Genomic DNA, 19,019 nt, shown 5'->3' with positions numbered 1-19,019 from the left:
AGTCTCACTGATACAGGAGCACCCAGATTCATAAAGCAAGTCCTTAGAGACCTACAAAGAGACTTAGCTCCCACACAATAATAATGGGAGACTTTAACACCCCACTGTCAACATTAGACAGATCAATGTGACACAAAATTAACAAGGATATACAGGAATTGAACTCAGCTCTGCACCAGGTGGACTTAATACACATCTACAGAACTCTCCACCCCAAATCAACAGAATATACATTCTTTTCAGCACCACACCACACCTATTCCAAAATTGATCACATAGTTGGAAGCAAAGCACTCCTCAGCAAATGTAAAAGAACAGAAATTATAACAAACTGTCTCTCAGACCACAGTGCAATCAAACTAGAACTCAGGATTAAGGAACTCACTCAAAACCGCTCCACTACATGGAAACTGAACAACCTGTTCCTGAGTGACTACTGGGTACATAACGAAATGAAGGTAGAGATAAAGAGGTTCTTTGAAACCAACGAGAACAAAGACACAGTGTACCAGAATCTCTGGGACACACTGAAAGCAGTGTGTAGAGGGAAATTTATAGCACTAAATGCCCACAAGAGAAAGCAGGAAAGATCTAAAATTGACACCCTAACGTCACAATTAAAAGAACTAGAGAAGCAAGAGCGAACACATTCAAAAGCTAGCAGAAGGCAAGAAATAACCAAAATCAGAGCAGAACTGAAGGAAATAGAGACACAAAAAACCCTTCAAAAAATCAATGAATCCAGGAGCTTTTTTTTTGAAAAGATAAACAAAATTGATAGACTGCTAGCAAGACTAATAAAGAAGAAAAGAGAAGAATCAAATAGATGCAATAAAAATGATAAAGGGGATATCACCACCAATCCCACAGAAATACAAACTACCATCAGAGAATACTATAAACACCTCTACACAAATAAACTAGAAAATCTAGAAGAAATGGATAAATTCCTCAACACATACACCCTCCCAAGACTAAACCGGGAAGAAGTTGAATCTCTGAATAGACCGATAACAGGCTCTGAAATTGAGGCAATAATTAATAGCTTACCAACCAAAAAAAGTCCAGGACCAGATGGATTCACAGCCGAATTCTACCAGAGGTACAAGGAGGAGCTGGGACCATTCCTTCTGAAACTATTCCAATCAATAGAAACAGAAGGAATCCTCCCTAACTCATTTTATGAGTCCAGGATCATCCTGATACCCAAAGCCTGGCAGAGACACAAGAAAAAAAGAGAATTCTAGACCAATAGCCCTCATGAACATCGACACAAAAATCCTCAATAAAATACTGGCAAACTGAATCCAGCAGCACATCAAAAAGCTTATCCACCATGATCAAGTGGGCTTTATCCCTGGGATGCAAGGCTGGTTCAACATATGCAAATCAATTAATGTAATCCAGCATACAAACAGAACCAAAGACAAAAACCACATGATTATCTCAATAGATGCAGAAAAGGCCTTTGACACATCAACAGCCCTTCATGCTAAAAACTCTCAATAAATTAAGTACTGATGGGACATATCTCAAAATAATAAGAGCTATTTATGACAAAACCACAGCCAATATCGCACTGAATGGGCAAAAACTGGAAGCATTCCCTTTGAAAACTGGCACAAGACAGGGATGCCCTCTCTCACCACTCCTATTCAACATATTGTTGGAAGTTCTGGCCAGGGCAATGAGGCAGGAGAAGGAAATAAAGGGTATTCAATTAGGAAAAGAGGAAGTCAAATTGTCCCTGTTGGCAGAAGACATGATTGTATATCTAGAAAACCCCATTGTCTCAGCCCAAAATCTCCTTAAACTGATGAGCAACTTCAGCAAAGTCTCAGGATACAAAATCAATGCACAAAAATCACAAGCATTCTTATACACCAATAACAGACAAACAGAGAGCCAAATCATGAGTGAACTCCCATTCACAATTGCTTCAAAGAGAATAAAATACCTAGGAATCCAACTTACAAGGGATGTGAAGTACCTCCTCAAGGAGAACTACAAACCACTGCTCAATGAAATAAAAGAGGATACAAAGAAATGGAAGAACATTCCATGCTCATGGGTAGGAAGAATCAATATCATGAAAATGGCCATACTGCCCAAGGTAATTTATAGATTAAATGCCATCCCCATCAAGCAACCAATGACTTTCTTCACAGAACTGGAAAAAACTACTTTAAAGTTCATATGGAACCAAAAAAGAGCCCGCATCGCCAAGTCAATCCTAAGCCAAAAGAACAAAGCCGGAGGCATCACGCTACCTGACTTCAAACTATACTACAAGGCTACAGTAACCAAAACAGCATGGTACTGGTACCAAAACAGAGATATAGATCAATGGAACAGAACAGAGCCCTCAGAAATAATGCCGCATATCTACAACCATCTGATCTTTGACAAACCTCACAAAAACAAGAAATAGGGAAAGGATTCCCTATTTAATAAATGGTGCTGGGAAAACGGGCTAGCTGTATGTAGAAAGCTGAAACTGGATCCCTTCCTTACACCTTATAAAAAATTAATTCAAGATGGATTAAAGACTTACATGTTAGACCTAAAACCATAAAAACCCTAGAAGAAAACCTAGGCAATACCATTCAGGACATAGTCATGGGCAAGGACTTCATGTCTAAAACACCAAAAGCAATGGCAACAAAAGCCAAAATTGGCAAATGGGATCTAATTACACTAAGGAGCTTCTGCACAGCAAAAGAAACTACCATCAGAGTGAACAGGCAACCTACCGAATGGGAGAAAATTTTTGCAATCTACTCATCTGACAAAGGGCTAATATCCAGAATCTACAATGAACTCAAACAAATTTACAAGAAAAAAACAAACAACCCCATCAAAAAGTGGGCAAAGGAAATGAAGAGACACTTCTCAAAAGAAGATGTTTATGCAGCCAAAAACACATGAAAAAATGCTCATCATCACTGGCCACCAGAGAAATACAAATCAAAACCACAATGAGATACCATCTCACACCAGTTAGAATGGGGATCATTAAAAAGTCAGGAAACAACAGGTGCTGGAGAGGATGTGGAGAAATAGGAACACTTTTACACTGTTGGTGGGACTGTAAACTAGTTCAACCATTGTGGAAGTCAGTGTGGCGATTCCTCAGGGATCTAGAACTAGAAATACCATTTGACCCAACCATCCCATTACTGGGTATATACCCAAAGGATTATAAATCATGCTGCTATGAAGACATATACACATGTAAGTTTATTGTGGTAGTATTCACAGTAGCAAAGACTTGAAACCAAGCCAAATGTCCAACAATGATAGACTGGATTAAGAAAATGTGGCACATATACACCATGGAATACTATGTAGCCATAAAAAATGATGAGTTCATGTCCTTTGTAGGGACATGGATAAAGCTGGAAACCATCATTCTCAGCAAACTGTTGCAAGGACAAAAAACCAAACACCGCATGTTCTCAGTCATAGGTGGGAATTGAACAATGAGAACACATGGAGACAGGAAGGGGAACATGACACACTGGGGCCTGTTGTGGGGTGGGGGGCTGGGGAAGGGATAGCATTAGGAGATATACCTAATATTAAATGATGAGTTAATGGGTGCTGCACACCAACATGGCACATGTATGCATATGTAACTAACCTGCACGTTGTGCACATGTACCCTAAAACTTAAAGTATGATAAAAAAAAAAAAGTGGCCTCCATGGAGCTTGCAGTGAGCCAAGATCGCACCACTTGCACTCCAGCCTGGGCGACAGAGTGAGGCTCCATCTCAAAACAAAGGGGGCCTCCAAAAGAGACTGTTTGCTGAATGAATATGGGCAAAATGCAAACGTAATAGAAAGAATTAGAAAACAGGGTAGCATCTGAGTAGAGGTGAGACTGTATTGTTTGAAAGCTCTTTCTGGGTTGGACCTTTGCAGAAACTCTGCAAACCCAGTTCCACATGCATGTGCATCCATACACATACACTCCTTCAAAAGCCTCATATGTTATCTTGGAATTAGTTGTTCTTATTTCTCACTCATAATATTGCTGTCTAGTAATAGCATGAGTAACTGAGTTGAGTCTGTATATTAATTTGGATGTATCAAGTTATTTTTCAATGAAGAAATTGACTTACTTGCAAATTGTCAGCTAGGCAAGAGAGAGAACATTTGAGTCAAGGTTTAAAACATTGTATAAGTAATTTTAATACAACACAAAACATATTTGCTATATTCAAAAGCAATTAATTATAAGACACAATTGAAGTAGGGGGACATTAAAATAAAATTACATTGTTAACTACATTTTAAAAGTAATTCTTGCATTATTTGTAAAACTGATTCAGTAGGAGGAAATTAATACTCAGTTTATAAAAGTATTCATGTTTTCCTTTAGGCATTTCTTCTAGTGCATTCAAAATTATCCAATTTACAAGTAATTCATTTTAAGTTAACTTCTAGCATATAAAATGGTTGTGTTGAAACACTGTCTTCAGAATTTTATTTTTAAAAGATACTATTTTAGTATAAATTCACATTTATAGTTGAATGCTTTTGTGAAAGATATTAGTCTTTAAAATATTTTACAGGCTGGCCTTGTTGGCTCATGCCTGTAATCCCAGCACTTTGGGAGGCCAAGGCAGGTGGATCACTTGAGCCCAGGAGTTCAAGACCAGCTTGAGCAACATAGTGAAACCTCATTTCTACAAAAAATACAAAAATTACCAGGTGTGGTGGCACACAGCTGTAGTCCCTACTCAGAAGGCTGAGGTGGGAGGGTAGATTGAGCCCAGGAGATAGAGGCTGCAGTGAGCCATGATTGCACCACTGCACTCCAGCCCAAGTGCCAGAGTGAGACCCTGTTTCAAAAAAAAAAAAGTTCGACAGTTCCAAAACACATTAATGTTAATTAGAGTCTGCTAAGTTGCTATAAATACAACAAAAAATTCAATGGCACAAACAAAATATCAGTTGCCTCTCATGAAAAAGTCCAAGATTAGCAGGTGCAGATTGGAAGAGCAAAATTGACTCAGGGAGTGGTAGAAGGAGAGCAAGGATCCAAGGCATGAGCCACAATCCATGCCTCTTACAACCCCTCACATCTGTCAAATAGAACCCTTGTCTGGATGGGCCCTTGTTCTAACCCAGTGCCTGAAATCTTGTATCTGTTATATTGGTGGTTCTACATGACTTTATATTTGAAAAGTTACATTTTAGAAGTGGATATTTTGTATTTTTGGTTACTAATATAACTGTGTGAAAGCACTATTAAAAATACTTTTATTTCGTTAAAATTACCTGTTTATGTTTTGGTCTCCTCCACTAATCTGTAAGCCCCTCTGAGTAGGAAACAATACATTCCTCACTATACTCCAGCACTCAGCTCAGTGCATGGGGATTTAAAAGTAAATTTCTTCCAGAAGTGTAGATTCTTAGATCCAGATTGTGAGGAGGGGAGGAGAGAGGTATAGGTGAGCCGGGGGCGGAAGTGGGGGCAGGATCATCTTAAGGAAGGAGACCACTGCTACTACTGCTGCCCTCCTCCCACCACCTTGCCTCGTTCACAAGACAGGAGGAGAGAAAAAGCAAAAAGTTGGAAAAAAAAAAAAGTAAGATAAATTGCCAGACAACCTTGGCACCACCACCCGGCCCTAGGAGTTAAAAAAAGTAATAATAATAACATCAACCCCTGACCTAAACTACTTGTGTTATCTGTGAATTCCTGACACTGTATGAAAAAAGCATTGTAGCCCCCAGTCACGTTTCCCACTCTTGTTTGATGTATCACGACCCTTTCACGTGGACCCCTTAAAGTTGTAAGCCTTTAAAAAGGCCAAAAATTTCTTTTTCGGGGAGCTCGGCTCTTAAGACGCGAGTCTGCCGACGCTCCCGGCCGAATAAAAACCTCTTCCTTCTTTAATTCGGTGTCTGAGGAGTTTTGTCTGTGGCTCATCCTGCTACAATCTGTTTGAACAGATCACCTGAAAGGTAGGTGTTCATTTAAGCATTTGGAGTAGAACTGGCTTTGGGGTTGTTGACAGTTTTCCCTTCACTAGGAAGTGTTTGTCACTTTAAGGCAAAAACCAGGAAGTTAAAAGTGGATGCAGAAGCGAGCACAGACGGGGCTAGGGGTTTCAGAGAAAGTAATTGAGAGTGCTGGCAACAGCAGCTGAAATATAGAGAAGTTGTAGGATTAACTTTTTCGCCCAAAGCAGCTTCAGCCCACGTTTTATTCCCATCGAGGGAGGGAGAATGGGTGCCGCTGAGTGGGCGGGGGAGTGGTCCCTGAAAGGAGGTGGAGTGCTACAGCCCCTCCCCGTTGGCTCTCGCTGTTTGTCCGTTGTTGGTTTATAGTAATTTGACAACAGCCGCCTGTTGAGTCTCCTCCAGATCGCAGCTGAAGGATCTGTTGAGCGCTTCAGGAAAGGCGGTGAGATCCGGTACCGCAGCAGAGCACTCTCAGCTCTGGGTCTTGCAGGCGCAGGGCTCCCCCATGCCAGCAGAAAGATTTCCTCTGGTGAAGAGGACCGTCGAATCTGTCCTCCTCAAGACACCTCTTGTACAGAATTTATTCGAATGCCACGGCCAAGGTCTTCCTTGAAAAATGTTAACCGATGTGTGCTTTTTGTCTTTTGTCATCCTTTCTTTAGGACAGGCGACACTAACAGGTGAAGATCTCGGGAGACCATGACTAAGAAAAGAATTGCTGTGATTGGGGGAGGAGTGAGCGGGCTCTCTTCCATCAAGTGCTGCGTAGAAGAAGGCTTGGAACCTGTCTGCTTTGAAAGGACTGATGACATCGGAGGGCTCTGGAGGTTCCAGGTACATACATCTCCTAGTCCCTTAATACTTGAAACCCTCCCTGCAACTAGGTGCATACGACAGTTTATCTTAACAGTGTCAGGTGGCCGGGCGCGGTTGGCACACGCCTGTAATCCTAGCACTTTGGGAGGCCGAGGCGGGCGGATCACGAGGTCAGGCGATCGAGACCATCCTGGCTAACACGGTGAAACCTCGTCTCTACTAAAAATGCAAAAAAATTAGCCGGGCGTGGTGGCGGGTGCATGTAGTCCCAGCTACTCGGGAGGCTAAGGCAGGAGGATGGGGTGAACTTGGGAGGCAGAGCTTGCAGTGAGCCGAGATCGCCCCACTGCACTCCAGCCTGGGTGACAGAGCAAGACTCCGTCTCAAGGAAAAAAATTAAAAAAAGATAGTTAAACTTATTATATTCCAAAGAATACCAGCCACCTTTATTGATCTCCAAACTGACATGCATTGGATTTGCTGGGTTTGCTTTTATTTTTACATTTTTTGAAGGAGAATTTTTATTCTTTTTATTTACAGAAAATTCAGCAGTGTACATTTAACCCAGTTTAGTGGCAACTTCTTTCACCTTTCCCTTTTCCACTTTGGTGATTCAAACCCACAGATTTAGGACCCAGGACATTGCCTCCCCATTGGCAGCGAATCTCATCATATCTGTCCATGTAATTGGTTCTGAAAACTGCCACCAACTTAGCCACACCTCCTTTGTCTTCCTAGTGAACCTGTGTGAAGGCAACGTCGTGCAGGTCTTCCTGTGGACTAGACATCCCAATCTTACCTCACCCTTGATAATGCAGTAAGGGACCCCCATTTTGGGACACAGGGCAGGCAGGAAGACAACCAGCTCGATGGGATCCGCATCGTGTGCAATCACCACCAGCTGAGTCTTCTTGTTCTCCACCAAGGTGGTGATTGTGTTAACCCCTGCTGGAAAGACGGGTGGTGTCTCGATGGGGGTATCCCCTTTGCTAGCAGCTTTCTTCTCAGTCCAGGACAACAGTCTCTGCTTCTTCTCTTGTTTTGTCTCTGGTCTGTGCTTGTGGGCCCGCGTAAGCAGTCAGTAGCTGTTTGGCAGTGCGAAGCCTGGGTGAACTGGTTAATGGCAGGAAGTGCTTTCAGCAGCTTATAAAAGGATAGCTCTTTGCTGCTGCAACCTGATATAGGGGGGCCATCTGACAAAGAGGGTGAGGTCTCTTTGGGGCTGTATGTCCTGTCCAATGCCAAAATTCTTAGGCTTTTTCTCAAACAGAGGATTCACAACTTTTTTGTCTTCCTGCTTCTTCACTGATAGCAGGGGCGGGGGCCGCCTTCTTTCCCTTAGCCTTCTTTCCTATTGGCATCTTGGGTGGCTAGAGGAGAACGGGTTTGCTTTTAAGCTAGTTTTCTGAACATTTAATAGTATTGAGGTGCCCTAGATAAGTTTTACGTTTCATATTTCATAAAAACTAACACATTGTTGGCCAGCTACATAAAAGTGGCTTTATAGCATTTCTTAGTTGAACCGAAATACAATCCTTTTGCACCCTGACTCTGTTTTGGGGACTAATTTTATGTGACAATCATCCTTATTCAGATCTGGAGTGGATCCCCTTAGCTGACCTGCATACGTGTATCATCATCAGTCTTGGACATGGGCTAAAAGCCTGTTGTTTTTAGTAAACAGCAGAAAATTCTGCTCTTAAAATCCAGCCACAATATGGTATGGAGGTTAAGAATGCAGTCTTAGGCTCAAACCTTATTTCTGTCACCTACTAGCAGTGTGACTTTGGGCACATCATTAAGCTTCTCTGTACCTGTGTTTCTTCATCTTTAAGAAGTGGATAATAATAGTATCCACTTTATAGAGTTATTGTCAGGAGTAAGTGAATGGATAATTATGCCAATCACTTACAACAGTGCCAGGAACATAGTGTTACATGTTGGTTATTATTCAGTAGGCCTAGGATGGGACTCACACATGTGGTGTCTTTACTAAGCATCTTAGCCAGTTTTGGCAGTTACTGAAAAGGCATGAAATCAATTGAGGATGGGAGGAGGTTGGGAGGGCATCCATCATCTTGTCTGATTATCAAGTTTCTGGTTTTTATCTCCAATGTGGTTTAAACTTATTCTCTGCTAAAGACTTAACGTGGAGGTTTTTCTTCTGATTATCCACTTGGCAAAATTTTAACACTTTGTAAACTGCTTCCTTGAAAATAAATAAGCTGTGTTTCATCATAACGCTCTGACTTCTGTTCCAACAGACCACACCTGTGTGGTTCACCGTTATATTTCTAGAGCCAAGCATGTATTCTACTATCTCCATTTTTTAAAGCTCCCCAGATGATTCCAATGTGCAGACAACAGTTCAAAGAGAGTTTCTATTCCATGGGATTTTGAAAATCTGACAGGAACAGAAGCCCCAAACTGTCCTCATTCCTCCCATTTAAATTTTTCTCCTTTCTTCTGTCCTTATTACTTCTTCCAATCCCATCAGTTCCAATTTCCCCAACTTCCATCCCCTGCTCTCTCTCTCTTTTCTTTTTAGGCAGAGTCTCACTCTGTTACCCAGGCTGGAGTATAGTGGCGTGATCTCAGCTCACTGCAACCTCTGCCTCCTGGGTTCAAGTGATTCTCATGCCTTAGCCTCTCAAGTAGCTGAAATTATACACGCACTACTACGCCTTGCTAATTCTTGTATTTTTAGTAAAGATGGGGTTTCACCATGTTGGCCAGGCTATTCTCGAACTCCTCACCTCAAGTGATCTGCTCACCTCGGCCTCCCAAGGTGTGGGGATTACAGGCATGAGCCACCGTGCCTAGCCTCTCTTTTCTTACACAGACTTCCTGCTCAAATGTGTGAGCCTTGTGCCTAGGTAGGAAATATAATCAGTGTATAGAGTTTGTAGAGAGAAGATTTATTCATCAATGGTAGAAAATTGTAAAATGCAGGAGCAGAAGCTTCTTTTTCTTCTACTCACTAACCCAATACTGCTCTGTGCTCACTCTTTTGGAAAGCAGTGGATTGGCACAGTGGTAAACCTTACCTAAGTTCCAATCAGGTGTTTCGAAGGATTTGAAGGATGTTGTTGACACAGGATAACACTTGTTGTGGTTAGTGATTTGAAAAAGAGTTGAAATATAGGAGTACCTCAAAGAGGTGAGATCTGTCATTCATTTCACTCAGTGATCCCAACAGACCTGCTGTGGATAGGATGGCTCTACTCTTTGTAAACGTTGAACTTTTGGAATACACATACAGACTTGCATTTATCAGTACCTCATAAAGTATTTTATTACAGAGGGACTTTCTAAATATCTCTTGAATGAATAAATGAAATGAAATTCAGAAGTTAGGAACATGCCTCACCTGCTCTCCATACAGCAAACATCTTAATTCCAAAATGACCTTGCCATTCATTAATTTACCTTAATTAAAAAATATATACACTTATGTACAAACATGTTTAAATAAGCTTTTAATTTTAGAACAGTTTTAGACTTACAAAATTTATTAGGAAGATAATACAGAGAATTACAGTACACCTCATGTCCAGTTACCCCATTTTACATTAGTATGATACGTTTTTAAATAATGAATGAACCAATATTGATACATTATTATTAACTGAAGTCCATACTTTATTCAGATTTACTCAGTTTTTCCTAATGGCCTTTTGCTGTTCCAGGATCCCATCCAGGATACTGCATTACATTTAATAGTCATATCTCCTTAGGCTCTTTTTGGCTATGAAATTTCTTAGACTTTCCTTGTTTTTGATGCCCTTGATAGTTTTGGGGCCAGGTATGCTGTAGAATATCCCTCAGTTGGGATTTATCTTATTTTTTTCTCATGGTTAAATTGGGGTTATGACTTTTGGGGAGGAATATTATAAGGTGCCATTCTCCTCACCTCCCATCAAGGGTACATACTATCCACATTATACCCACTGTTTTTTTTTTTTTTTGGAAACTTAAAACTCATTTTATGTTATTATAAGTAAGAAATTAGCATTCAATATATGCCACAATATATCTTTGTTGAAGTGTAAGTTTGTTCCACTTTTCTATTTTTCATTTTCCAACTTTTATTTTAGGTTCGGGGGTACATATGAAAGTTTGTTACAAGGATAAATTGTATGGGGCTGGTATAACTGCTAGCCATATGCAGAAGATTGACACTGGATCCCTTCCTTTTGCCATATATGAAAATCAACTCAACATGCGTTAAAAAGTTAAATGTAAAATCTAAAACTATAAAAACCCTAGATAATATCACTATTGATGTTAACCTTGATGTCCTGGCTTGAAATAGCGTTTGTCAGTTTTTGCCACACTGTAAAGTTGCTCCTTTTTTCTCCATTGCCATACTATACTCTTTGGAACAAAGTCACTATGCACAGCCCACTATTAAGGACAAAGTCTTCTATTCTAGGCCTTCTGTCTTTCCATATGAACTTTAGAATCCATGTGTTAGCTTGGATTCTAAAATAGCTTGCTGGGATGTTGATTGAGATTGCATTGTATCTATAGGTCAAGTTGGAAAGAACTGACATCTTAACAATATTTAATCTTCTAGTCTATGAATCAGAATATCTCTCCATTTATTTAAATCTTAGACTTTCTTCATCTGTGTTTTCTAATTCATGCTTATAAATCCTATACATATTTTGTTATGTTTATACCTACGTATGTAATTTCAGGGGTATTACTATAGATGGAGTTTTTAAAATTTCAAATTCCAGTTGTTCATTCTAGTATATAAAAAAGCAAATGACTGGGTGCGATGGCTCATGCCTGTAATCCCAGCACTTTGGGAGGCCGAGGTGGGTGGATCACGAGGTCAGGAGATCGAGACCAGCCTGGCCAACATAGTGAAACCCCATCTCTACTAAAAATACAAAAAATTAGCTGGGCAGGGTGGCATGCGCCTGTAGTCCCAGTTACTCCGGAGGCTGAGGCAGGAGAATTGCTTGCACCCGGGAGGCAGGGGTTGTGGTGAGCCGAGATTGTGCCACTGCACTCTAGCCTGGGCAATAGAGCGAGACTCTGTCTCAAAAAAAAAAAAAAAAGCAATTAACATTTGTATGTTAACCATGTATCCTGCAACCCTGCTGTACTCACTTGTTGACTCTAGGAGTTTTTTTCTTTTTTTCTTACTTTTTTTTTTTAATCCTTTGGGATTTTCTACATAGACGGTCAGGTCATCTGCAAATAAAAAGTTATCTTTATTCCTTCCCAATCCGAATATCCTTTACTTTTCTTTCTTCTATTATTGTACTAGCTAAGACTTCTAGTGCAATGTTCCATAGGAGTGGTGAGAGAGGACATCCTTACCTTGTTCCCAGTCTTAGGGGAAAAGTGTCTAATTTCTCACTGTTAAGTATGATGTTGGTTATAGGTATTTTGTAGATGTTCTTTATCAAATTGAGGAAGTTTCTCTCCATTCCTAGTTTGCTGAGAGTTTTCATCATGAATGGGTGTTGTACAAACAACATTTTAACAAAAATAAAAGAAAAAGAAAGCAATCCTACTGCCTTAATAAGTCGACTGGTTTTCTGTATTTTCACATTTTTTTCTATTTCAAATAAATGAAGTATACTCAAAAGAGACATGTCTAACAGGGAGCGATTATACAAGTATAATTATATACCCATAGATAGACATAATATTACATATTTGGTGATTAGAATGTAAATTTAATTTTACAGTTCCCTTTGTACTTCATTATATCATACGCCATTTTTAATGTTCCTGCACAGACTTCAAAATCATAGTTTTTGGTGTCTCCAAATTCAATTTCCATAATTCATTAACTAATTCATTTCAAAGCATTTATTGCACATCCAGTACACACCAGGTCCTGATAATAGAGATTTAAAGAAGGATATGGCTACTCTCGGGTTTCTCACAGTCATGGAAACAAATGCCTGATAATATAGTGTGTTTAAGTTATCTTTATAGAAATATGAACAGAGAGTTTTGGGAGCTTGGAGGATGAATAGCGGAATCTAATTCTCTGGAGAAATTAGAAAAGTCTTGTTGAAGGAAGTGACATTTGATGTAACTCTTGAAGGACAGGAAATTTTCCAGATGAAGAAATAGTAATATTTACGAAGGTTTAAAGTTGTGCAAGAGCCTAGAGTGTTTCAGGAACAATTTAATAACTTAGAAATTTGAGATTAAATAAGGACAACACTGGATGAAGATTAAAAGATAAACCGGGCTAGATTGTGAAATGTGCTAAATTTCAAAATAAGGAATTTTGTTTTCCATATGGAATCAAGAGAAACTATTAAGCAGTGGAGTGGCAGGATCTACTTTGTATTTATCAGGATACCCATGGAGTGGTGTGGAAGGTAAATTCTGCATGTTGAGGCTGGGCGCGGTGGCTCACGCCTGTAATCCCAGCACTTTGGGAGGCTGAGGCGGGCGGATCACGAGGTCAGGAGATCGAGTCCAGCCTGGCTAACATGGTGAAACCCGTCTCTACTAAAAACACAAAAAAAATTAGCCAGGCATAGTGGCGCGTGCCTGTAGGCCCAGCTACTCGGGAGGCTGAGGCAGGAAAATTGCTTGAACCCAGGAGGCAGAGGTTGCAGGGAGCTGAGATCGTGCTACTGCACTCCAGCCTGGCGACAGAGTGAGACTCCATCTCAAAAAAAAAAATTCTGCATGTTGAGATACTATAATTTACTAAACCATTCATCTATTTTGGGAACATTTAACATTGTTACTAATTAATTGCTATTTAAGTTATACAAAAATATATCTATGCATTTGACTTTATATTATTTTGAAATTTTTCTTGGGACAAAATTTTGGGAGATACATATATCTTATTGAAGTCTTTTTGAGATAAATGTTGATGTATTTTATTAGTTTTCTTATGCATTTTGTGAAACTTACATCTTATTCTGTATATCCCTTTCTCAATACAATTTGATATGCATCCATTAAACATTTATTGAGTGCTATTTATCATTGTGGATGCTGTGGGGAAAACCATGAGTACAATTCAAGGGGCTTACAATCTAGTTGGAGAGATAAGGAATACACTACAAAACATTATGGAGGTCTTTGAATCCTAAGCTGAGAAATAGGAACTTTATTCTGCAGGAAATGGGAAAACATCTAAAATTTTAATTAGGGCAGAGATTTAGTCCAGCCACACCTTAGAGAGAACACTTTGGTTGAAACAGGTAGGCTAGATTAGAAGAAGAGACTTCAAAGGAGTCTTATGAAAATGTTATTAGCAGTTAAAGAAATGAGATGTTGGATTATAGGTCAGAGAAATGGGAATGATCAATTTAGGATTCCTAGATTGAATAATTAAGCAATAAAAATGGGAGAAAAACAATCCTAAAGGTGGACAAAGCCAACAAACAACAAACACTCTCCTTTGTGGCTATTTAATGTTTCATAATACTCAATATCTCAATATCTGTTCATTTCTAGAATAAAAAGGGAGGAGGAGATCCAAATTGATTAAGGTGATTTTCCATAGTCAAAACAATTTTTGAAAATCTAAAAATTTGAAAACTCCTCATTTGTGAAATCTCGGTGACAGGCTGGGTAGATTGCATCATTGCATTACTTTATGTGATCACCACAACAATGCTATAAGATAGTTAATAGGAAGTTTTTTTTTCTTTTTCTTTTTCTTTTTTTTGTAGACGGAGTTTTGCTCTTGTTGCCCAGGCTGGAGTGCAATGGCGCTATCTCTGTCACCGCAACCTCCGCCTCCCGGGTTCAAGCGATTCTCCTGCCTCAGCCCCCCGACTAGCTGGGATTACAGGCATGCGCCACCACGCCCGGCTAATTTTGTATTTTTAGTAGAGACAGGGTTTCTCCATGTTGGTCAGGCTGGTCTTGAACTCCCGACCTCAGATGATCTACCCACCTCAGCCTCCCAAAGTGCTGGGATTACAGGCATGAGCCACCACGCCCGGCCTCAATAGGAAGTTTTTGAGGATGCAAAGAAGTTTGTTGTAGGGGAAAGAACACTGAATTGAGGATTAATGTCATTTAATGCAGTGCATCTCAGTTTGCATGAGCATCTGAATTCTGAATCACATGAAGATTTTGCTAAGATGCAGGTTCTGATTCAGTAGGTCTGAGGTGGGGCCTGAGAGTCTGCATTTCTAACACAATCTCTCAAGGGAAGCCCCAGCTGCTAGTCTACAGACCATACTTTGGTAGTAAGGATCTAGAGCAGTGGTTCTCAAATTTCAGTTGTTTTTTTGGGCATTTAGCTTGTCTCATTTTTGTATTATGAATAATGCTGGTATTAACATCCTTTAACATAAATCTTCCTAAGCGATGCTGAATATTTTTTTAAAAGGCTAGGTAAATTGCAAGGAGTTTCATATACATTTTAACACTGCTCTCCAGAAAACGCTGGAGATGTTATACTCTTTCCAGTATATGGAAACTGTTACACTCTTTCCTGTGTATCTTCCCATTTTGCCTCATTGTTACTCATTTAAAAGACTATTACTCAGTGTTAGTAACTTTCTGTTCACATGTTTAGAACTTCAGCTGGGATAGAATAGAATAGGTAGAATTTTTGGGGACTGGCCATATATTTTCTGTCCCAGACATTCTCTTCATGTGGTGAGGCTGGACTTCCTCAAGCTATGGTGGTCTCATGGTAGTTGGATTTCTCATATGGCTGCTAGCTTCTACCAGAGCGAGCTTTCTGAGACCCAGGCAGAATCCGCAAGGCTACTTATGACTTGGTCTTGGAAGCCATTCAGTGTCATTTCAACTGTATGCTGTTGGTCAAAAGCAAGTCATAAAGATAACTGAGATTCAAGGGGAAGGGACTACATAAGGGCACAAATACTGGAAGGTGTGTGTGTGATTTAATTGACACTTCTTTCAGAAAACTTTTTCAGATGTCTATTGGCTATTATAAAACATGAAGATGATCCTCAAGTTGCTATGAATACTTTCTATTTATTGCAGGAAAATCCTGAAGAAGGAAGGGCCAGTATTTACAAATCAGTGATCATCAATACTTCTAAAGAGATGATGTGCTTCAGTGACTATCCAATCCCAGATCATTATCCCAACTTCATGCATAATGCCCAGGTCCTGGAGTATTTCAGGATGTATGCCAAAGAATTTGACCTTCTAAAGTATATTCGATTTAAGGTAGAAAATTGTGTGGGTATCTTTGTGTTTGAAGTTGTTTGCCAAGTAAATGAATAACGTGGTTTCAGTTACCAATGTTTACTTCTAAAGATTGGCTTGATTTGCACATGTATTTATCCTACCCAGGCAAAAACTCCATTCTTTGTCCTCCTTTGCTCCTCAAAAATATTCAAGGGACAGTCTCTCTTTCATATATTTTGGCTGCAGATACAGGAAGCCAGCTGGCAGAGTGTTTTCATTACCTTCATTTCACATTATTTGATTGCAATAAACAGATGAAGGGAAATGTTTTCCCCATTACAGAAGGGAACTGATAGGTATGGGAACTTTAAAACTCTCTGGTTCCACAACTTGTCCATTACTGCTTAGCCCTTTTGTACTTTCTGAAGTACTTTCCAATATATTTGTTTACATGAACATCATAAAAACCCAGTAAAGTATAGCTCTTGGGTAGTTAACTCTGGTGTAGAGGGGAGAACATGGAATTGCAGAATAAAAACCTGAATTCTGGTGCTTGCCCTACCACTAACTAACTTAGATGTTAGACAAGCAATTTCCTCAATTTCAATTTTTAAAAATTTTCTTGTTTGTAAAACAAGATGATTGTACCAGATCACTTCTGTGGTTCCTTCCTGCTCTAAAGTATTCTAGGACTTTTCTATAATTTCTGATCATGACCATAAAAGAATTTTATGGTCAGATATTTCTGACAGCTGGCAAAAAGCCCAAACCTTCTGCCTTCTGATCATCCTGCTAAGTCATGCCTTTTTCTGCTTAATGACAATAAGAAAATGAAAACATCTAGTGAACTTCTAAAGTAAGTCATTTACATTCCAGTGGTGCTTCTCTTCATTTATTTAAACAATACTTATTGAACAAGTTTGCTACCATACTAAGCATTGAATATGCAAAGACAAAAAAGAAAAATCAGTAACTTTATAGTCTAGTTAAGGGGATAAAAATGAAGAAAAATTTTATTATAAATATAATTAATAAAAATAGAGAGTTACATGGGGACAAATGCTAGAGATCTATACGTTGCAGCTCGGAGGAAAGATGTTGAACCCATCAGGACATGAAATATCAGGTTCCAGGGAAGTTTTCTTAAAGAAGATAAAGTTTTCTTAAAGCTGAGTCTTGAAGGATGAGTAGGAGTCTACCAAATAAGGAATAAAAGGGTGATCTCGGCAGAGGCACCAGCCTGTGTAAAAGAACATGATAGAGGAACTATAAATAGTGCTGGATTGCTAGTGCATGCAGGGGTGGTTTGTCTCTCTTTTTTTTTTTGTTTTTTGTTTTTTTTCAGACAGAGTCTTGCTCTGTTGCCCAGGCTGGAGTACAGTGACACGATCTCGGCTCACTGCAACCTCCACCTCCCAAGTTCAAGCAATTCTCCCGCCTCAGCCTCCCGAGTAGCTGGGATTACAAGCATGTGCCACCACACCCACTAATTTTTGTATTTGTAGTAGAGACGGGGTTTCGCCATGTTGGCCAGGTGAGTTTTGAACTCCTGACCTCGGGTGATTCACCTGGCTCAGCCTCCCAAAGTGCTGGGATTACATGCGTGAGCCACCGCACCCGGCCGGGATGGTGTCTCTATTAGTCCATGAAGACATTATGGTCATGGGCCCGTAGAAGCACATAGTGTTTCCTTAACCTAAGTAGGGTAACCCATATTTATTATTTTTTATAAAGCTAAAAATCATAACACTATCCTGTTTCACAGCCTCTTTCTTTATAGTTCTTTGTAAAATGGGTATTTATGGGAGCCAAAGGGAGATTCATTTATATAAAATGAGAGCCACTGAGGTGTTTTTCTACCCTACCAGGAAAAGGAGCCCTATAGCTCAGTCACTTATTTAAAGGTAGCCAGGAGAAGAGAACCTAGGGTAAGAAGACATCAGAAGGTCTCAGGACATATAGGGGTCAGGAGAAGAATAGGCATTTAGTGCATGGAGTGTCATAAAAGCACAGGAGAAGCCCAGGCTTTACTCAGGTGTTACAGTGCCTTAGGACCTGGACCAAGAGACCTGGTGACTTGCACTTTTCTAGAAGAGGAGGGTACATTAGCCTGCCAACACTATGTTATTTTTTTCTGTCTTGTGGAAATTTTCTCATTCTGACTACAGCCCCAAACAGTTCTTATTTGTGGAGTATGAAAATCAAATATCCCTGCATGGGTCCTATTATGTGATAGTGTCTGTGATATCAGCCCTTTGTGTAACACTATGCAAGGAGAGTCATGTCAGGGATGTCCCCTGTGGTTATCACTTTTCTTTTCAGACCACTGTGTGCAGTGTGAAGAAGCAGCCTGATTTTGCCACTTCAGGCCAATGGGAAGTGGTCACTGAATCTGAAGGGAAAAAGGAGATGAATGTCTTTGATGGAGTCATGGTTTGCACTGGCCATCACACCAATGCTCATCTACCTCTGGAAAGCTTCCCTGGTGAGCAGCTTACCAGGAAGGAAGACCCTTGACCCATGCCTGTGACCTGACCCCTGAGGAATGGGAGGATTGTGGTCTGAGTAATTCCTACTTTGGAATGAAGTAAGACTTATCCTAATTATTCTTGTTCCCCAGAAGGATGTTGGGGTAACTTGTATTACTGCCATTTTTGTAATTTTGGAGATTAGAGCAAAATTTGCAGTCTATTTAGTTTTACAATGACTTTAGTCATTGTATCAAATGACTGGAGTATCAAAGGGAAGAATGTGGAGTTCTTGAGGAGCATTAGGTAGAATAAGGAATTTTTCAGCAGTAAACACAAATATTGAGTTTCTAAGGAAGGAATGAAAGCTTGAAGAATTTCAGTCTTTGGCCTGGATTTTCATTTTAAAAAAAAAAGCACTCTATACTCTAAAGTATATAAGAATATATGTGCTGTAAGTGAAATGCGAGTAGGTATTTAAGGGGATGAAAAGATAAAAGAGAATGGAGGTTTTCTGAGGCAGTTTATATTTATATCTCTAAATCCAAAATACAAACACATCCTGAGTTAAGCAAAGTACATATGACAAGGAAATCACAAGGTACTACTCTGAGGCTATGGGAAAAGAAAATAGGCAA

General features: G+C 39.8%; 2 protein-coding genes and 1 pseudogene across 17 annotated transcripts in view; 1 reads left to right on the top strand and 2 right to left on the bottom strand.

Moving 5' to 3' along the window:
* Nucleotides 1–19,019, bottom strand: part of CHD1L (chromodomain helicase DNA binding protein 1 like) — a 123,016-nt gene that overhangs the window by 64,057 nt on the left and 39,940 nt on the right. The gene's annotated exons all lie outside the window — the stretch shown is intronic.
* The window catches only part of FMO5 (flavin containing dimethylaniline monoxygenase 5), a 42,980-nt gene continuing 28,382 nt past the window's right edge, over nt 4,422–19,019 (top strand). For 3 of the 16 annotated variants that reach the window (NM_001144829.3, XM_011509350.4, XM_047416278.1), the window contains exons 1-4: nt 6,367–6,429; nt 6,640–6,811; nt 15,764–15,952; nt 18,236–18,398. In NM_001144829.3, the coding sequence (NP_001138301.1) occupies nt 6,677–6,811; nt 15,764–15,952; nt 18,236–18,398 (487 nt within the window). In that variant the 5' untranslated portion in view covers nt 6,367–6,429; nt 6,640–6,676. Of the gene's footprint in view, nt 5,978–6,077; nt 6,133–6,366; nt 6,812–15,763; nt 15,953–18,235; nt 18,399–19,019 lie in introns of those variants that run through there. The other 13 variants (XM_005272947.6, XM_047416285.1, XM_005272946.6 and 10 more) reach the window with 9 other exon arrangements.
* Nucleotides 7,302–8,173, bottom strand: RPL7AP15 (ribosomal protein L7a pseudogene 15; annotated as a pseudogene).

Source organism: Homo sapiens, chromosome 1, assembly GCF_000001405.40.
Source record: "Homo sapiens chromosome 1, GRCh38.p14 Primary Assembly".
NCBI classification, from domain to species: Eukaryota; Metazoa; Chordata; class Mammalia; order Primates; family Hominidae; genus Homo; species Homo sapiens.
The sequence above is the reverse complement of the archived record's forward strand: the minus strand, read 5'-3'. Positions and strand labels throughout refer to the sequence as shown.